The 20080-nt window shown below is 41.0% G+C and overlaps 1 annotated feature.

Annotated features, from left to right (window-relative positions):
- Positions 6448-6949: an enhancer, noted in NCBI's record as "OCT4-NANOG hESC enhancer chr8:127412538-127413039 (GRCh37/hg19 assembly coordinates)". NCBI's record gives its function as "activates a minimal SCP1, AML or CMV promoter by ChIP-STARR-seq in primed H9 embryonic stem cells {active_cell/tissue: H9 hESC(primed)}" and the evidence as "EXISTENCE:reporter gene assay evidence [ECO:0000049][PMID:30033119]".

The following is a 20080-nucleotide window of genomic DNA, read 5'->3' as shown; positions in this document are numbered from 1 at the left end:
AAATAAAAAGGTGCCTTTCACGGTCTAGCTCAGAGGATCCCCTTCCTCTGCATTCCTGCAGGGCTCTAGAAAGCCCCATCAAGCATCTTAATAATGGGGTGTGTTATTAAACTTTTTGTGGATACAGGTTCTCCATACACAAAGTGGATTATAAACTTCTCTGCTTCAGACAGGTGAGATGATATAATAGAAAAAATAAAAAGGAACAAAATTTAAACTCAGAAGGGTTGAGTCCTAGCATTTCCACCTAACTTGCTCTAAACATTTGCAGACCTGTTGATATTTAGAGAGCTCCTGTTTAAAGATCCTGGAAGTTAGGCTGCTTTGCAAACTCTCAAGCAACAGAGAAAAAGGTTGACCATTGCTTTTACTTCTTATGTTGCTCATAACCCTCAGAACAGTTTAACACAATGTGAGAACTACTCAATAGAAATGAGTCTTTATTTTTTATTGGCACACTCTAGGAGACACAATGATTTAATCTATTTTTCCCTTCCAAGCTTCTTCAGTGTTTTGGTTTTGCACAGGGCCCATTCTTCTAAAAGGTCCAAGTCCTTTTGCTAAGACTCAAAAAGAAATAGAAATAGAAACTGACAAAGAACCAAAGTCCACAAGGGACGGAAAGAGTCAAACGAGGACAGTGGTGGGAATAGGTTCAAGGAGACACTGCAGGTTTCCTTTGCTGTTGGAATGAGAACCTGGAGATGGTGTAAGAGGCCACATCATTTCATTTGTCATGGAGGAACTGCCCCTCTCAGACTCCTCAGTAGGCTACTCATGTAGATTTAGGCAGCCCCTCAGGAGTGGCTCTTAGGTGAGATTAATAAAAACAAAAGACTGACCCTGAGTCATCAAGAAAAGGCTAAGTAGGCTTCACATTCTCTGTCTAAAATAAAAGGAAAATGTGTTTCATGTTTTAAAGGAATGTCCCTAAAATTAGTATTTCCAAAACATAGGGTTGTCAGTAACTTTGGCAAGTTCTCATTCCCTTCTGGAGATTTGCCTGATACTTCAAAAAAGTTAATCATACTGTGTGTTCTGGTTCCTTCTGTCAAGGACTATTTTCCTGAAATCTTTTGAGGAAGAGTGAGGGCAATTACTTCCCCCTGATGTCTTCTCTGTTTCCTAACAGATCACAAAGAACTGATCACTTCTACGGAAGGAAGAAAGGAAGGAAGGAAGGAAGGAAGGAAGGAAGGAAGGAAGGAAGGAAGGAAGGAAGGAAGGGAAGGAAGGAGGGAGGGGAGGGGAGGGCAGGGGAGGGGAGGGGAGGATATATGTGTGTTTGTACAGACACACACACACACACTCACACAGTACATCCCTTGTACTGGGCTATATGTCACATGCTAATCTAAATGCTTTTATATATAAACTCATTTAATCTTTACAATAACCCTTTGGCGTGTTACTGTGTTTTTCATTTAGAAATAAACCAACTGAAGCAATGGAAAGTTGAGTAGCTCACCCAAGACTGCAGCCTTAGTAAGTAGCAGGGCTGGAAATTGGACCCTCTGCTTCTTGGTGTACTTGAGTGCATCTCTATTTCAGCACTCTGCTCAGGGTAGCATTGTCTCACCAGCCAGTCCATGTGAGCTCTCTGGGTTAGGTGCTGCTTCTTAGCTTTGTATCCTCAGGGGTTTTGTCCAATGAGTTAAAGAGAGGATTTAATGGGTGGCCTGTGGCCTGGACCCCAGTCGATTTCTTCAGAAATTAATTGTTCTTCCTGAATAAAAGATTTAACATTCATCTGCCTAGCCCTTTACCACATGAATAGGGAACCATGCTGGACAGACAGTCCTCCTTTTTACGTCTGTGAAATCTGAATGATAACATGTGTCCTTTCCAATCCAGGGCTATTGTCAGGAGTAAATGGAGAGACCCTTTGAAGAGGATAAAGTGTGTCACAGACGCAAGGCATTTAATAATTAGCAAAACTTTAATACACACACAAAGGCTGCATTATAACATACAAATCAAAACTATGCTGCACAAACCAACTAATAATGCCATACCAATTCATACAGGTAATGCAATTATCTTTTCTAATTTATCCATTACACTGCCATTTGAATAACTTTCCTTTTAAGGCAAAAACCTGTAAGAAACTCCACTTTGCCTTTTTGAGTTAGTTCTAACAAGGACAAAAACAGGAATTAATGTTTAATGAAACCCTACTTTCTACCTGGCCCTGTGCTGTTTGCCTTGGCTCAAAGCACAGTGATGACTCCTGGTATAATCTCAGCTGAGTGACTTAACCTCTATGAACTGAAGTCACCTGAACTGTAAAATAGAAATAACGATAATGTCTACAGCCATGTATAGCACAATGGCACCAGATGTAAGGGGTTGCCGTTCCCATCATGAGAGAGGTGGATCTTTGTTACCAAAGCTTCCTAGCAGATGCCAATATTGTATCTTGTTCTAATAAGAATAGTTTATTATGACAGTTTTCCAATAGATGGAAGTAAAGTGGCTTGAAGAAAGGGAGCCTTTTGCTGATCCCTACACAGGCTCTAAATAGACAAGGAGCAATACCAAGTTCTTAGCTCAGGGTTGTTGTAAGAATTGATTGAGGCCAGGTGTGGAGGCTCACGCCTGTAATCCCAGCACGCTGGGAGGCCGAGGCTGGCAGATCACCTGAGGTCGCACGTTTGAGACCAGCCTGACCAACATGGAGAAATCCCGTCTCTACTAAAAATACAAAATTAGCTGGGTGTGGTGGCGCATGCCTGTAATCCCAGCTACTCAGGAGGCTGAGGCAGGAGAATTTCTCAAACCTGGGAGGTGAAGGTTGCAGTGAGTTGAGATTGTGTCACTGCACTCCAGCTTGAGCAACAAGAGTGAAACTCCATCTCAAATAAAAAAAAAAAAGAATTGATTGAATAAATGTACAGAAAGTACATGGAACAGTGTTAGAACAAATGAAGGAAAAACAAACTAAAGTACTTGGAACATTATTAGAACAAACAAAAAAGTGGTAATAACTATAATTTATCTGCATTTTCTGGCGTAATATCTTTGAGTCCTCATCATAACTTTAAAAAATACTATTTAAAAAAAGCTTTGTTTGTTGAGGGATGATTAATATACGACAAACTGCACTTTTTTTTGTTTGTTTGTTTTTGAGATGAAGTTTTTCCGTTGTTGCCCAGGCTGGAGTGCAGTGGCAAGATCTCAGCTCACTGCAACTTCTGCCTCCTGGGTTCAAGCGGTTCTACTGCCTCAGCCTCCTGAGCAGCTGGGATTACAGGCGCCCACCACCACACCCGGCTAATTTTGTATTTTTAGTAGAGATGGGGTTTCACCATGTTGGACAGGCTGGTCTCGAACTCCTGACCTCAGGTGATCCACCCGCCTCAGCCTCCCAAAGTGCTGTGATTACAGGCGTGAGCCACCGTGCCCAGTCAAACTGCACGTATTTAATGCAAACAATTTGATGAGTGTAGACATATGCACACACCCATGAAACCATCATCACAATTAAGATACTAGACATAGATATATCCATCACTTTTACTAATATCCTTGTGTCTCTTCGTGTGTGTGTTTGTGTGTGTGTTAAGGAAATATTACTTTCAATCCCTGTTTAACAAATAAAAAAAGTGAGGCCCGGAGAGGGTTAAATTGTACCTTAAAAGTCAGCTAGGTAGTGAGTGGCTTAGTTTGGGACCCAAATCCAGGCCTGTCTGCTTAAATCTATACCATTAATTACTGTACTTGGCTGTCTTCCAAGCAAACCATGTCTTCTCTTAGTTGAGAGACGAGCATGGAGAGAGGAAAAATCCCAGCGTGAGATTTCTGAATAGAAGGGAGCAGTTGCCCCAGTCTGAGTTGTGCCTAGAGCCCTTTACTTCCTGCACTGAATCTCTGCTTGATCCTCTTTCCGTTTTCCCCACCTCCCACTACTACAACCTCATCGCATCCTTGACCTTCATTTCTTCTTGGTCCATGGCAAAATGTGTCTGTGCTTGGGGAAGAGCTACAACAGGATAAGTAGCAGGAGCTTCAGGCTTGTCTAGAGGTTAGAAGGGGTTTTGTGCTGATGCTGGCAATGGAAGCCAGACCCGGACCGCATAGATGAATGTAGCAGACATACCCACCTACGCACTCTGATGGTGGCTGGCGAAGGACTAAGTAGTGGAGACATGTTTTGAAGATTTCTTTAATGTTTTCATGTCTTGTATTACAAATCCAAGAGCAATTATTTCTATCCCTCTGCATATTATATCTATTTCTTTTAACATAGAGAATGTTTTAAATTTCTAACCAAAGAGAAAAAGTTGATGGATCAGGAAGATGTACAGGACAAAGACTTTGTTTATAACCTGTGTGATGGTTAATTGTATGTGTCAATGTGACTAGGCTATGATGCTCAGTCGTTTGTTCAAACACTAATCTAGATGTCTCCGTGATGAAGTTATTTTTTAGACGCAATTAACATTTATAGTCAGTAGATTTTTGGGTACACTAGACCTCTTTATCCATAGGGGATACATTTGAAGACCCTCAGTGGATGCCTGAAACCTTGGATAGCGCCAAATCTTATATGTACTGTGTTTTCCCCTATACATGGATACCTAAGATAATGTTTGATTTATAACTTAGGCACAGTAATAGATTAACAATAATAATAAATAATAAACAATATACTATAATAAAAGTTATGTGAATGTGGTCTCTCTCTCTGTCTAAAAAAACTTATTATCCTACTCACAAATTTAACGCCTTTTCCATCTTAATTAAGCAGCTACCACACACTGTGGCCTTAACTTTTGCAGTGAGAGGTACAACAGCAAAACTGGCTACATTTCTTTTTCCTTCTTTTTTTTTTTTTTCTTTTTTTTGCCCAGCTAATTTTTTTCTATTTTTGGTAGAGATGAGGTTTCAACGTGTTCACCAGGATCCTCTCTATCTCCTGACCTCGTGATCTCCCCACCTCGGCCTCCCAAAGTGCTGGGATTACAGGCATGAGCCACCGCGCCGGGCCCTTTTTCCTTCTTTATAATTTCATAGATAGAAGATTTATTCTTATCATAGATCTTAGCAACATCAGCATACAATTTGTTTTCTTACTAAGTCTAGAACTTTCACCTTTTCACTTAAGGAAAGCATTTTCTGGCTTCCCTTTGGCATGTCTGAATTGTCGGCATCACTACCCTTGTGCTTTGGAGACATTATAAAGTAAAATAAGGATGACTTGAACACGAGCGCTGCAATGCCGTGACAACTGATCTGATAACCGAGCTGGCTACTCTGGAACTGTCAGGCAGGTAGCGTATACAACATGGACATTCTGGACAAAAGACAATTCACCTCCCAGGACAGAGCAGGATGGCTCAACATTTCATCACGCTACTCAGAATGGCGCACAATGTACAACTTATGAACTGTTTATTTCTAGACATTTTCATTCAATGTCTTTAGACCATGGTTGACCACAGGTAACTGAAACCACAGAAAGTGAAACTGTGGTTAAGCGGGGATGACTGTAAGCAGGTTACTTTCTGTAATTGGACTCATGCAGTCATTTGAAGGCTTTAAGATCGAAGACTAAGATTTCCCAAAGAAGACGGAATTCTGCTTCTAGACTGCAACACAGAAATTCTGCCTGGGTTCCCAGACTGCAGACTCAAGACTGCAATATCAACTCTTAGGTGAATCTCCATGCCGCTGGCCTGCCCTACACATTAGATTTTAGACTTGCCAGCCTCCACATTTGTGTAAGCCGGTTCTTTAAAATTCTCTCCCTCACGTGTATCTACACACACACACACACACACACACACACACACACACGGTTGACTTTTGAAACAAACCAAAGGTTAGGGGCACCTCCAATGAAGTCAAAAATCCATGTATAACTTTCTTTTTTTTTTTTTTTTTTTTAAGACATAGTCTCGCTCTGTCTCTCAGGCTAGAGTGCCGTAGCATAATCTCGGCTCACTGCAACATACACCTCCCAGGTTCAAGCAATTCTCCTGCCTCAGCCTCCCGAGTAGCTAGCACTACAGGTGTGCACCACCATACCCAGCTGATTTTTGTATTTTTAGTAGAGATGGGGTTTCACCATGTTGGCCAGGCTGGTCTCGATCTCCTGACCTCAAGTGATCTGCCCACCTCACCCTCCCAAAGTGCTGGGATTATAGGTGTGAGCCACCGCGCCTGGCCAAAAATTCATGTATAACTTTTGATTTTCTCCCAATTTAACCACTAGTAGCCTTCTGCTGACTGAAAGCCTTATCACAAAAAGTTGATTAATGCATATTTTGTGATTAATATATATGTTATATACTGTATTCTTAAGTAAGCTAAAGAAAGGAAAATGTTATTAAGAAGATTATAAGGCAGAGAAAATACCTTTATAGTACCATATTGTATTTATCGATACCCTCAGTTTATATTGTCTGTTTACAAGATGAATGAATTGTCTGCGGTGGCAGCAACTGCAGCTGCGGACCTCAATTTATGGTACATATCAAGCAATTCAATCTTTTCTTGTAATGTCAGGACTTTTCTCTGCTTCTTGGGAGCACTTCCGGCATCGCTACTGGCACTTTGTATGGGTCCCATGGTGTTATTCAAGGTTTACGCTATTGCAGTAAACACGATGAAAAATACGTGAGAAACACTAGAGATCACCTTTTACTGAGATAGGCAATTTACTAGAGAAAGGAACCGCTCATGCGGAGATGATTAGCATCACACAGTGTTTTAAGGGGATACTCGCAACACTTGAGCACATGCAATAGCAACAGGATGTGGCTACAAAATTATTACAGTAGTGTGGTGTATGCCACAGTTAATTTTATGCAGTTGTAATTTAATACTGTATCCTTAGGTTTACTTCCATTTCTCTGGACTGGGAATAGCACCATGTGCAGTCTGTATGTGCATAAGCTTTGATAAATTTTAGTTTTTCTGTTTTTTTTTTTTTTTTCTTAGAGGGAGTCTTGCTCTGTTGCCCAGGCTGAAGTGCAGTGGTGGGATCTCAGCTCACTGCAAGCTCCGCCTTCTGGGTTCATGCTTTTCTCCTGCCAGCTAATTTTTTGTATTTTTAGTAAAGATGGGGTTTTATAGTGTTAGCCAGGATGGTATCCATCTCCTGACTTTGTGATCCACCCGCCTCAGCCTCCCAAAGTGCTGGGATTACAGGCGTGAGCCACCGCACCCGGCTTTTTTTTTTTTTTTTTTTTTTGAGGCTAGTCTCGCTCTGCCGCCCAGGCTGGAGTGCAGTGATGCGATCTCGGCTCACTGCAAGCTCCGCCTCCTGGGTTCACGCCATTCTCCTGCCTCAGCCTCACAAGTAGCTGGGACTACAGGCGCCCGCCACCATGCCTGGCTAATTTTTTGCATTTTTAGTAGAGACGGGGATTCACCGTGTTAGCCAGGATGGTCTCAATCTCCTGACCTCGTGATCCGCCTGCCTCCGCCTCCCAAAGTGCTAAGATTACTGACGTAAGCCACCACGCCGGGCCAAATTTTAGCTTTTTATAATAGACTTGTACATATTTTATGGTAGTAAATGATAAAATAGATGAGTATTTACATATATTTTATGCATTCATGAGACCTAATTTTTTCTTAAGTTTTTGATATTTCTAGGCTACGTTTTGGCAACTTTTTTTGAAATTGTTGCAAGCCTCCAAAAATGTTTGCCATATATTTATTTTTTAAAAATCCACATATAAGTGAACCTGCACAGCTCAAACCCATCTTGTTAAAAGATCAACTGTGTGTGTGTATCTTATTGGTATTGTTTCTCTCTCTCCTTTTTTTATGAGACAGAATCTTGCTCTGTTGCCCAGGCTGGAGTGCAGTGGCGTGATCTTGGCTCACTGCAACCTCCACCTCCTGGGTTCAAGCAATTCTCCTGCCTCAGCCTCCCAAGTGGCTGGGACTACAGGCACTTGCCACCATGCCTGGCTAATTTTATTTATTTATTTATTTATTTATTTTTAGTAGAGACAGGGTTTCACCATGTTGGCCAGGCTGGTCTCGAACTCCTGACCTCAAGTGATCCACCCACCTCGACCTCCCAAAGTGTGGGATTACAAGTGTGAGCCACTGCACCCGGCCTTGGCTTTATTTCTCTAGAGCACCATGACTAATACAACCTGGTAGGTACCTCAAGAGTATGTTCCTTTATCCATCTAGCTTGCACCAGTGACAACAGAAAAGCTGCAGGCATTAGTCAGATAGTATGGCTACACTGCAGTAATAACAAATAAATCCCAAAGTCTCAGTGGCTTAACACTATATAGACTTATTTCTCCCTCACGTCACATTCCATAAAAGGAGGCAAAAACTCAAATGGCTGCAGGGTCCAGACAGCCGAAGTAAATGATTGTGACTTCAGTGATCTTGAGACCAAATGCTTTATTCTAAATTAGGAAGAAATGTTGTCACCTTGTAGGAAAAGGAATGCCTGTGTACATATTTCCACCTTTTAATAGGCAAGAAAAGTTGAGAGTTTTATATGTAAAGTGTCTAATTTTCATATTTTGGTAACATATCCAATTAAAAAAATAAAAGTATGTGTATGCCAAACAAAATCTACTTATTGCAATAGGCCCAGGGGACTCCTGCTGGCAACTTCTGTTTGAAAATGACTACCCAACAATATTTTTTCTTGTTTATCTTGAGCTCAAGCTCAGCTTTGATCAAACTCATAGTTCCAGAAAAAAGCAGTGAAGTCCCGTTTATAAATCACAGAGGACTTCATCTGTCAGCACCACATGTAAAACCAAGAAACTCTAATGATAAGAACATAAAACCAGCCTGCACAGATACTCATATTGCTTACACAAACCAAGAGTGAAAAGACCAGAAAATAAGTGGGACTTCTGAAAAATCACTGTATTACTTGCATAGTAATATGTTTAAAAGTCCTTGCCAGAGACATTTGCATTGGCGTCAGTTAGCAATCCAATATTTTCAATTTGTTTTAATGACATTATTTTAATTAGCTTTGAAGAAGAGTTGTTGAGTTTCAGGAAGACAAGTTGTAGGACTGAACACCTGGGGAGGGAAAGGAGGGAGAGTAGTGTTGTGAATATTAAGCTAACAAGAATAAATGAGCTGGGTGTGGTGGCTCACGCCTGTAATCCCAGCACTTCGTGAGGCAGAGGCAGGTGGATCACCTGAGGTCAGGAGTTCAAGACCAGCCTGACCACCATGGCGAAACCCCGTCTCTACTAAAAATACAAAATTAGCCAGGCGTGGTGGTGCACGTCTGTAATCTCAGCTATTTGGGAGGCTGAGGCAGGAGAATCGCTTGAACCAGCAGGCGGAGGTTGCAGTGAGCTGAGATCACGCCATTACACTCCAGCCTGAGTAACAGAGCGAAACTCTGTCTCAAATAAATAAATAAAAGAATAAATGACTGACGCCTGTAATCCCAGCACTTTGAGAGGCTGAGGCATGTGGATTTCTTGAGCCCAGGAGTTTGAGACCAGCCTGGGCAACATGCTGAAATCCCGTCTCTACAAAAATTAGCTACTCAGAAGGCTAAGATGGGAGAATCACTTGAGCCCAGGAGTTTGAGGCTACAGTGAGCCATGATTATAACACTTCGCTCCAGCCTAGGTGACAGAGTGAGACCCTATCTCAAAAAAAAAGAAAGAAAGAAAGAAAAGAAAAATGAATGAAGCATTATTTGCATGTTTTATGGGTACCAGAATTATACTGTGATCCTCAGAAATCACAGTGGAAAATAGACTTTTATTACTTAGGTCCAGCCAGGCAATAGAAAGCACTTCAAGTATTTTCGAAGAAGGAAATTTACTACATTGAATGTGTTACATAGGAATGAAAGAGTGTGATAAATCAAACGAGAGAGAAGGAACCCAGAAGTTTGACACCCAGAAAAAGCAAGAAGCCACTACTACCTTTGGGTGGAAGGATCCAGGGGACGAGTCTCTCCCGCTACCAGCATGTAAGCTCTGTGAGCATAGAGACCTCATCTGTTTGCTCACTGCCCTGTTGCTCATGCTTAGAACAGTGTGCCTGGCTGCATTCATCTATTCAGGCTGCCCTAGCAAAATGCCACAGATTGAGTGCCTTATACCACAGACATTTATTCTCACGCAGTTCTAGAGGCTAAAAGTCCATGACCAAGGTGCCATCAGGGTTGGTTTCTGGTGAGGCTTCTCTCCTCTTTCTGGCTTGTGGATGGCTGCCTTCTTTCTGTGTCCTCACGTGGCCTCTTTTCACTGTGGGTGGAGAGAGAGAGAGAGAGAGAGAGAGAGAGAGAGAGAGATCTGGTGTTTCCTTCTCTCTCTCTCTCTCTTTTTTTTTTTTTTTTTTTTTTTTTGAGAGGGAGTCTCTCTCTGTCACCCAGGCTGGAATGCAGTGGCGTGATCTCTGCTCACTACAACTTCCGACTCCTGGGTTCAAGCAATTCTCCCGCCTCAGCCTCCTGAGTAGCTGGGATTACAGGCCCCCGCCACCATGCCCAGCTAATTTTTGTATTTTTAGTAGAGACGGGGTGTCACCATGTTGGCCAGGCTGGTCTCCAACTCCTGACCTCAAGTGATCTGCCTGCCTTGGCCTCCCAAAGTGCTGGGATTATAGGCTTGAACCACTGTGCCCAGACTAATTTTTGTATTTTTAGTAGAGACGGGGTTCCACCATGTTGGCCAGGTTGGTCTTGAACTCTTGACTTCAAGAGATCCTCTCGCCTCACCTCAGCCTCCCAAAGTGCTAGGATTACAGATGTGAGCCACCATACCTGGCCTCCTCCTTTTCTTATAAGGACACCAGCCCTAGGAAATTGAGGCTTCACCCTTATGACCTCACTTAACCTTTACTACCTCCAAATAAGCCCTGTCTTCAAATACAGTCACACTGTGGGCTTAGGGCTCCAACACATACATTTTAGGGGGACCCAGTTCATTGCACAGCACTGGTACATAGTAAATTCTCAATATTTATAGAACTGCATTGTATTCCTTCTATCCTATACCATACTGTATCTTCTGCGCTGGTAATAAACACTCTGCTATCATGCAGTACCCTCTAAAAATTGACTTAGAGCCTTATTATACTATACAGTGAGCTGGGATTATTGAAATACCACGGGAACTGTATGGCAGGAGTCCTTTCATTAAGCTTTCTAAGCTTCCTGGGGTTCAGAAGAGCAAGGCGCATCTTTCCAAAGTATAGGATGAGAAAATTAATGTTTGGCTTAATGCTAGAAATGTGGTGTCACCAGAAATGCTGACTGTAAGGGAGAGGTGAATGGTGTGCAATTTCTATACCTAACACTAAGTAGAGGAGGTATGTTGAGCTAAACAGAATGTACATTTGGAAGTGGGTGTGCATTTATGCGTAGAAGTGGGAGAATACATAAATTAATAATATGTCATAAAATTACTCTTCTGTAGTTGAAAAAAGTCAAATGTTGGCAATTACATGTACTTCAGTCTAATATGTGTGGTTGGGCATATGTGTAGAGGCTGTAAGTCTGGGTGTGTGTGTGTTGGGGGTGGGGTGTGGGTGGTATGGATGAAATATGTATTTACGTGTGAGCAGGGAAGAATGCATGCGTGTGGAGGGCAGGATGTAGGTGTATGTGAGTAGGGGTAATCAGGGAAGGCTTCCTAGAGGAGCTAACCTTGAAGGTTAAAGTGAAAGGACAAATAAGCTTGTGTACTCATAAAAGGGGTAGAAAGGATGCTCCCACCAAAGAGAACTGCATGCCAAGGCCAGGAATAGATTTATAAGAATGTCATCAAAACTAGATTCTAAGGGAGTAGTGAGCTGGGAAGATGAGGGGAATGACCTCAGAGCAGAAAAATGACAGAGGATGGGGGGCCCAATAAACCAAGGCAAAGAACTTGGCCTTTGTCCAAAAGAACAGAAGACCATGTTACGTTCCCAGATTAAGCAGGGAGTCTCCTTAGCAGGCCGAGGTGATGCAGAGAAAAGATTGCACCAGGAGAACAGAAAGGGGCTGTGAAACTGTACCAAGCTGCAAGAAAAGGTGCGCCCTGGCATCATGGTAACTCTCACCTTTCATTGCTAGTGTCTCCAGGCCCCTGACCCAAAACAAAGCAAGAGGGAGAGAAGCAGAGGCCAGCAGGCTGCTGTTAAATCTGACCAGCCAGAGGAGGCTCTCTTGAGCAGCTAAGACCCAGAATCTCCAGAGAGCCTGCAAGTTCTGTTCTCACTCCTCCTCTTCCCTGCTGACAAACTGTCTAAAGTTAGAGCCCAGTGCTTACAGGGGGAGTGGAAGGAGAGCGTTCTGTTTCACTTCTGATTATCATCATTCATTCGTTCCTCGTTAATAGCAGAACAACCAACCTGAAGGGAGTTCCAGCCATTAGAACACATCAAAGCGATCGGGGGTGCAGAATGAAAGCAGGGAAGGGAGAGAAATGTGGGCAAGGATAAGAGTGGGAGGGAGGAGAACGACAAGGAAGAAGCAGGGAGCAGAAGAGAGAGAAATGGAGGGTGGGAGTAGAGAGGAGAAAAGGAGAGGAGGACTGTGTGGGAGAAATGCAATCACTGAACACATTGAGGCCTGGGAGGAAGGCAGGAGGGGAGTCCATCTGAGGGAAATAATGTTGCTTGAGCTTGTCTACACAGACACTTCCCTGAGAAATTTAGAATCAGACACCAACTTAAAGGAGGTTGAACACCCCTCAATGACTTTGCTAATTCTTCTTTTATTTTGCCCTGAGTTAGAGCCCTAGGACACCATCCCACTCCCATTTGAAAGAAGCGGCCCGATTTCACAGCCCCTGGGCCTAGGATGAGGCTGTTCTGGCATTTTTTTAAAAAATGGGTTTTCCATCTGCTCCAACCATCACAAATTCAATTTCATATTTGGCACAAAGTAAATCAGTTTCAAGAAATATCTTGTCATCATCCAAATCAAAAAACCACATCCAAAATGCTCAATGCCAGCTACAAATTGTCAGAAGGGGTTGAAGAAAGAGGAAACGACTTTGCTCTAGACAGGGGAGGTGAAAGACATGTATTAGAATCCAACATAGTCACTCTTTGGTGTCTACATCATTTAAATGAAGCTGGAGAAAAATTTAAAATCTTGGCCAATCTGTTGTGCTGTTAACACTGTCTCTTCCCATCCTATCGCTCCCTCTTCTGTTCTGAAAACTTCTAACAGCAGCCACCACCTCTGAGTGTGAGCAAGTCCATAGCTTCTGAGTATCTGAAAAAGTAGACCAGATTTGCCCATGATCACTTGAGCTGGTCCAGCAGCTCTGCTAGCATCTGGAAAGACAAGTGGCCTCCACACATCCCTGGAGCTTTCAGGTATCTTTTCTTTATGAAGTGTCCCCACAGGTCTCTGGAGAGGTAACCTTACCCCTAAATGAAAGAAGGCCTGAAGTGCACACTGGTGGTCAGCACACAATTGATCTCTTAACACAAATTTATGCCTCCTCCTGGGCTGCCTTAAATGCCCTTGATTTCATTTATGAAATTCTTGAAAGCCTTATGCACATGGTTATCTGGGAAAGAGTCTACCTTAGCAAGTTACCAAATAAAAAAGTTTGTCTTGTTTCCTAAGCAGTGGAGGAACACCACACAGGAAGAGGGACTCACAAGTTTTGAAAAGAAATGAGAAGGTAGAAAAAAAAGAGAAATACTCTGAAGAACCATATGAATGTCTGCCTCCATGCCTTTATAATGGCCACTAACAATGCCTTTGAACCCTGTCTTTCTTCTTCACTTAGTGAACTCATTCAGGCTCTAGGCTATTTACGGCTATATTCCCAGAAATCCCAGACTGTACTTGGCACTTGATGGGTATCTTGGTTCTTCTGGGCTGCTGTAACAAAATATCTTATACTAGGGGGCTTAAAAACAACAGAAATATGTTGCTCAGAGTTCTGGAAGCTGGGAAGTCCTAGATCAGGGTGCTGGTAGATTTGCTGTCTTGTGAGGGCCCCTTTCTGGTTCACAGATGGTGCCTTCTCACTGTGTTCTCATAATGTGGAAGGGATCAGAGAGCTCTCTCCTCTTTTAAAAGGATTCCCATTCATGAAGGCTTCTCCCTGATGACTTGCTTACTTCCCAAAGGCCTTACCTTCCAATACGATCACATTGGTTGTTAGGGTTCATTCAACCTATGAATTTTGGGGGAACACACACATTCAGACCATAGCAGTAGGTATTCAATAAATATCTGCTGAAAGAATGAATGAGTGAATATATGAAGCCAGCATTTCTCATCTGCATGACTTTTGCCAACTCCCCCACCTCATTCCATAAGGTTAAGGTCCTCACTTTCTGCTTACTCTCAACCATCCTCTCATATCTTTTACCTGCCTCAGTTTTTATGAATGCATCTCTTATAATGGATCTCTTTTTGTCATTGCAGTGCAGGATCCTTAAATGTAAAAATTTTGTCTTGTTCACCTTTGTGTTCTCAGTGCCTGTCACAGTGTTGATATCTGATAGAGATGTTCAACGCATGTTGAGTAAATTATGAATGAATGAATGGCATTTGAGAAAACTGGTGGCAACATGAGGGTAGTGGATTTGAATGATAATGAATTAGATCAATCAGAAGAACTGGAAAGTCCCCTAAATTTTAATGGCAAAACCCTAAAAACAACTTTAGGGCAATAAGTCAAGGTTTTGATTCAGATATAGAATGTATGCATCTTTAGCATAGCCCAAGAGCTGGAGATGGAGGGCAGAGTGGTCACCAAGCAGGTTTTGGCAGTATCAGTGCATGCTACTGGGGGCCTCCTTACCTTTCCAGACACTCGCCAGAGCACCAGAACCATCAAGCTCTAATCATAGACAATTGGAGGCTTTATGCTGGGAACTAAAGTAGATAGACTTCTTGGGTGATGTGACTAAGGGAAACCAAAGTCCTCTCCTGTCCAAAACTCCTTCCCCACCCAGGATTCACAGGGGAAAAATGTCTTTAGGGCCCCATCTCTTGTGGGAGAAACAGACTCACATTTTGGGCCTTTTAGCAGCTACCATTATGACCATTGGCTTTACTGATCGAAAAGAAATCTTTGCAGTCAAAATCCCCCGTGTTTTCTTTTTAAATTTTTTTCTTTTGTTCTCCTGTGTTTTCAAAAATATTTTTCTCCTTCTTCTGCCCCCTCTCTCTCTGTCTTTCTTTCTCTCTTTGTTCCTTTCTTTTCCTCCTAATCTCTCCCCTCTCCCTTCCTCTCTCCCTCTCTTCTCTAGGAGGATACAGTTTCACATAAGCGACTAAGAAAATCAATTCCCTCATTCCTATCGAGAATGACATAGGCGTTTTTATCAAATGCTCATTTTACCACTGAGGCTAAAAGGATGTCAGAAGAGATCTTGCATCTGCCTTGCTAAATCCTATCATAATGTATTTGTGGTGCTTTTCTGAACCACCCGCCTACTAACAATATCAGTAAAGGAAATGAGCTTACTGTGGCTTTACTCTTGGGTTTCTGTCCTGAACTGAATTCTATCCTTTGGACACATAATCCTCCTACTTAATCATCAGCATGTGAATTTCCTTCCGGACCATGATTAGATTTTCTAACATGTTATTTCTAAGATATATACTTTACTTTTTTTTGGAAAATCAGAGTGAAATTTGCTCATCTCAGATCTAGTCCTTATCCTACAGCATTTTTTTTTTCTCAAAGACTAACACTATAATTTTGAAATCCATCTAGGTGGTTTCCCAGCATCCTGGCCTATAATCCATGGGCCTGAAGATTGAGCTCATTTAAGCCGCCTGGACATTCTGCAAATATTTTCTCTGTCTCTTTGGATTTCAATTCCCAATTGAAATTATTTTTTCAAATTATATTTATCTCAAAATCAAATTCCTTAGTGGTATAGATAGAAGTAACATAACAGAGCTGTGAATCCCAGAATGCTCCAAAGGCAATTCTGGGTAAAGAAAATTCCTAGGCTCATTTCACTTTGCCTCTCAGATTTAGTTTTTCACCTCAAGAATGAGGCAGTTCATTCGTCCCATCTAAGGTGTTTCTCCAGATATCTTTAATCCCTTCAGTCTTTCTGGTGCCCCATGCATCTTTCAAGTGTAGACTCCTTTTAATGGTTCTCTGTGACCTTTTGCACAGAGTGGGACTCTTCAGTGGTAACACAGAAGACCCTCATGCTTCAATCCAGGGATCAGCAAATCCAAGGGCTAAATCCAGTCCACTGCCTGTTTCTGTGGAAGCTGTTAACTAAGAATGTTTTTTTTTCTTTTTAAACAATCAAAAAATAATTTTCTGACACCTGAAAATCATATGAAATCCATGAATCACATTCCATTGCAGCACAGTCATTTTCATTCATTTAACTATTCTCAATCTCTGCTTCCACACTGTAACCCCAAAATTGAGTTGATGTGACAGATACTCTATGGCTCTCCAAGGCTAAAATATTTGCTATCTGGCTTTTTACAGAAAAGATTTGTCAACCCTCTGCTTTTGAGAGATCTAAATAACATATTCCAATTTGTCATTTTATTTTCGCTTAATGTTTTGCTCCATAAAAGTGCTTAATATTATTATCTTTTTAGTGCTCCTCAATGATTATCATTTTAATAAAGGATGCAGTGAGAAAAAGATAAGAATTTTTTTCAAACGCTATGATAGATTGAAATATTTCAAGCATTTTCTCTAGCTGCTCTTTATCTCTGCAGGGAGGACTGGAGGATGGCAAGGGCTTCCTATAGGCAGGCATCACCTTACTACTTTTCTTACTATCTCTGGCTTTCCTTTCCACTGTTCTAACTTAATTTTAAACCACTGTCACCTCTAACTTGGACCGTATGGTTGCTTCCCCACTAATTTCCCTCATTAGCTTTGGCCTCTATTTCATTTTCATGCCAATGCCAGGATATTCTATCTAAAACATAACTCTGATATGGCAATCTCTTGCTTGAAAACATTCAATGGCTACTAATTGGCCTGGGAATCTGGTTTCCGTATTTTAGTGGGATATATGGATTTCCTATGGTGTGGTCCTGTCTCCTTCTTCAAACCCATCTCCTCTCTCCCTCCCTCTTTCCTTCTTCTTTCTTTATTCATCATTGGATTGTTCACAGATCAATCACAGTTATTTCTATTATAAAAAGAGAAAATATTTCCTCTGCCCCATCTGATATGATAAACTTTCAGTGTTATATTTTATACGTCACATTCACAATAATTATAGTAATAAAAATAGTAGAATTTATTGAAACTTTTTGACATGATACTAACTACACTTTGAAAAATACCTGCCATCTATTAGATTGTTGATGTCTCAAAATAAAACAAAATAATCTTGAGAGGCAAATATTCTTCCCATTTTATAGTTTAGAAAATTGAAGTTTAGAGGAGATACATAACTTGCTGAAAGCCAGGGTTGTTAACTGACAGAGCCAGAATATGCAGTCAGATTTCTCTGACTTTGAAACCCAAGCTTTTGCTATGAAGCTCAACCTGTTCCACTAATGAATACACCTTCCTATGCTGTTGTGTGCTGGCAAATGTTTAACAGTGGCTGTCTCTTTGAAGGGGAAGCCCTGATTTATTGCATTTTCTAATTTCACAGAGTAAATACTCCTGCTGTGGCCAATTTCAAGTTACGAATGTGACATCACTGGATGCAAGTTGGAAGGAGACGTATAATCGCACACAATGAATTATAGAGAATTCCTGTCATGCAATAGATGTAAATAACCTCAAGAGCACAGACAGTAATAAAATATAGTAAATAATTAGGAAGTGATGAGTTTGGAATATTTATTACCTTTCTTATTTAATGTAATTTATTTAAATTTAAGTTTATCTAATTTTAAATGGCTGTGTTTAACAGCCGGCTCACAAAATTCCCGACCATTTAACAACTAGTTCTCCTGAGCTGGTATAAGCCACCTGTGTTATACCACTGCTCCTATATGGGGTAAAATTGAAGACACATAAAATGACTTCTGTTATTAACAGTCATAAAATAAAAGTGTGAACATCCTGTGACAAGTTTGGAGATGACAAGAAAAAGATTAAGAGTGAGTTAAGTTTTGAGTAGAGTCTTCCCATATAAGGTGAGGTTAGTTAGGATCAGTTCACAAATGGAATTATGTGGCATTTTCAAGAGGTGTAAAGTCCAAGTCTCTAATTCAGTTCTCTAATTTGAGCCTAACTAACTTACTAGGCTTCTTATATTCTCTATTTTCTCTCTTGGAAGCTCAGGGAAAGTGATTCTGATCTGGACCTTGGAGGAAAAGGAGACAACTACAGCAGAAAAGGAGTTAGTCAGATGTTGGACTTCATGAATGAATGTGAACTCTATGAATAGAGAGTGCTGTTGCATTTCTGTGTCTGAACATTTTCAAAACTAAGAGAGAATCCAGTCTTTGTGCGTGAGAGCCTCTTTTATCATTAGAATTCTACCTAGTGCTCTAAGAAACGGAAGTTTCCTTCCCTTAAACCGCCTGTTATCCAAGAGCTTTACCTTTAAATTCAAGTCTTCCATATTGTAACAATTTCTAATTAAAACCAGATATTAACAACAAAATGAAGAGTCATTTAAAAAACAAGACATTCTAATTATTTTTTTCTTCAGGTACAATTTTCATTTGTATCGTATTTATTTTTTCTCCCATTTAATATGAAACCATTCAAACTTGGCTCTCAGTGCGGGCAGAATTGGCAAAACTCTGTAATACTACCACTGTGTGCATGACACTAATCTTTGCCTTACTCACATGGTAAGGTTTTTGTTTATTTATTTATTTATTTGTTTATTTTGAAATTTCAAGACACTGTACAGCAGGAGACACAATCTCATGGAAATACAAGTGTGACCATCGTGCAATGAAACAAAATGTATTACTCCTTTGTCTTTATCAAGTCAAATCACACATTTGAACACCCCTCAAGCTTACTAGCCTTCAAAAATAAAATGCAAACAAATATGATCTGCCTTTTTCTTCATAATTAAATTCGTAAACATTGAAATAACAATGACAGCAATGCTAGGGAACATGCCGTGTGAGGAAAGAACTCTTGTACCAGAGGAGAAAGAGGAGAGCAAATTGTAAAATCGTGTGTGAAATCAGCTTGTCAATTTGCACCAAGAATCTAAAACACACAGATGTTGTTTATATTATTAGCAAACAATGAAAACAGCCAACATGTACAATAAAAGGGCTTGTTTAACTAGATTATTTTATATATTTATATATGTTACATATTTTATGTAAAATGGAATTTTATGCAGCTATTAAAGTGATATTTTAAAAAACTTATAAAATACAGGGAAATGCTTGTCATTTACTGCACAGTGAGGATTGAAAATTGCATATGGTACATAAAGTGAATTATGTTAAACCAAGTCTGAAAGGAAATAAGCCCGAATATTAATAGGACTTATCTCTGGATCTTAGAATGATGAATGGTTTTTCTTTCTTTTTCTTTTCTCTTTTCTATTTTCCCCAAGAATTCTATTACCAACATGTATTACTTTTATAATAAAAACATAAATAGTACAGCCCCTGTCCATGGGCTTCTAGAATCCCTAAGGCAATCAGTATACTAAAAACAGGACAAACATCCCACCAATCTATCAATCAAAAAAAGAAACAGTAAAATAAATCATGTTGTCATTCAAGTGAGCCCAGGTACAGGGCTGGCTCACAGACACCGATTGGTTGAAAGGAGCAGGAGGCTAGGATGAATAGTTTGGGGCTTGGGGATGTTGTGTCCCAAGGGAGACACCAGTGACTCAATGTCCAGAGGCTACAAGAGTGTGTGAATTAAGGTTTGCTTCCACAATGGGTCTCATCTAATGGGCTGGGTCCCGTAAAGACAAGTGTGAACATGAGGGTGGATTCACAACAACCATTCCATAAGAGCAGGGCTGCGTGTACAAGGTCCAGCATCCCGGAAAAGAGGGTGGATTGTCTAGGCAAAGTGGTGGGGGGCAGTTCACATGCAGCAGGCAAATGAGGAGCACACTCAAGGAATCAAAACTCTCCTAAGTAGTTCATACCTAAGTAGTTCAAAGAAAAGAGGAAGAGAGGATTCCTTAGAGGGGTGGGTTGGGGAGGAAGTCAGGCTTAATGGGAAATGCATAGGAGTTTAGAATCCTTTCCGTGAGGCAG

Source organism: Homo sapiens, chromosome 8 (assembly GCF_000001405.40).
Source record: "Homo sapiens chromosome 8, GRCh38.p14 Primary Assembly".
Lineage (NCBI taxonomy): Eukaryota > Metazoa > Chordata > Mammalia > Primates > Hominidae > Homo > Homo sapiens.
This window is presented reverse-complemented; position numbering and strand designations above follow the sequence as displayed.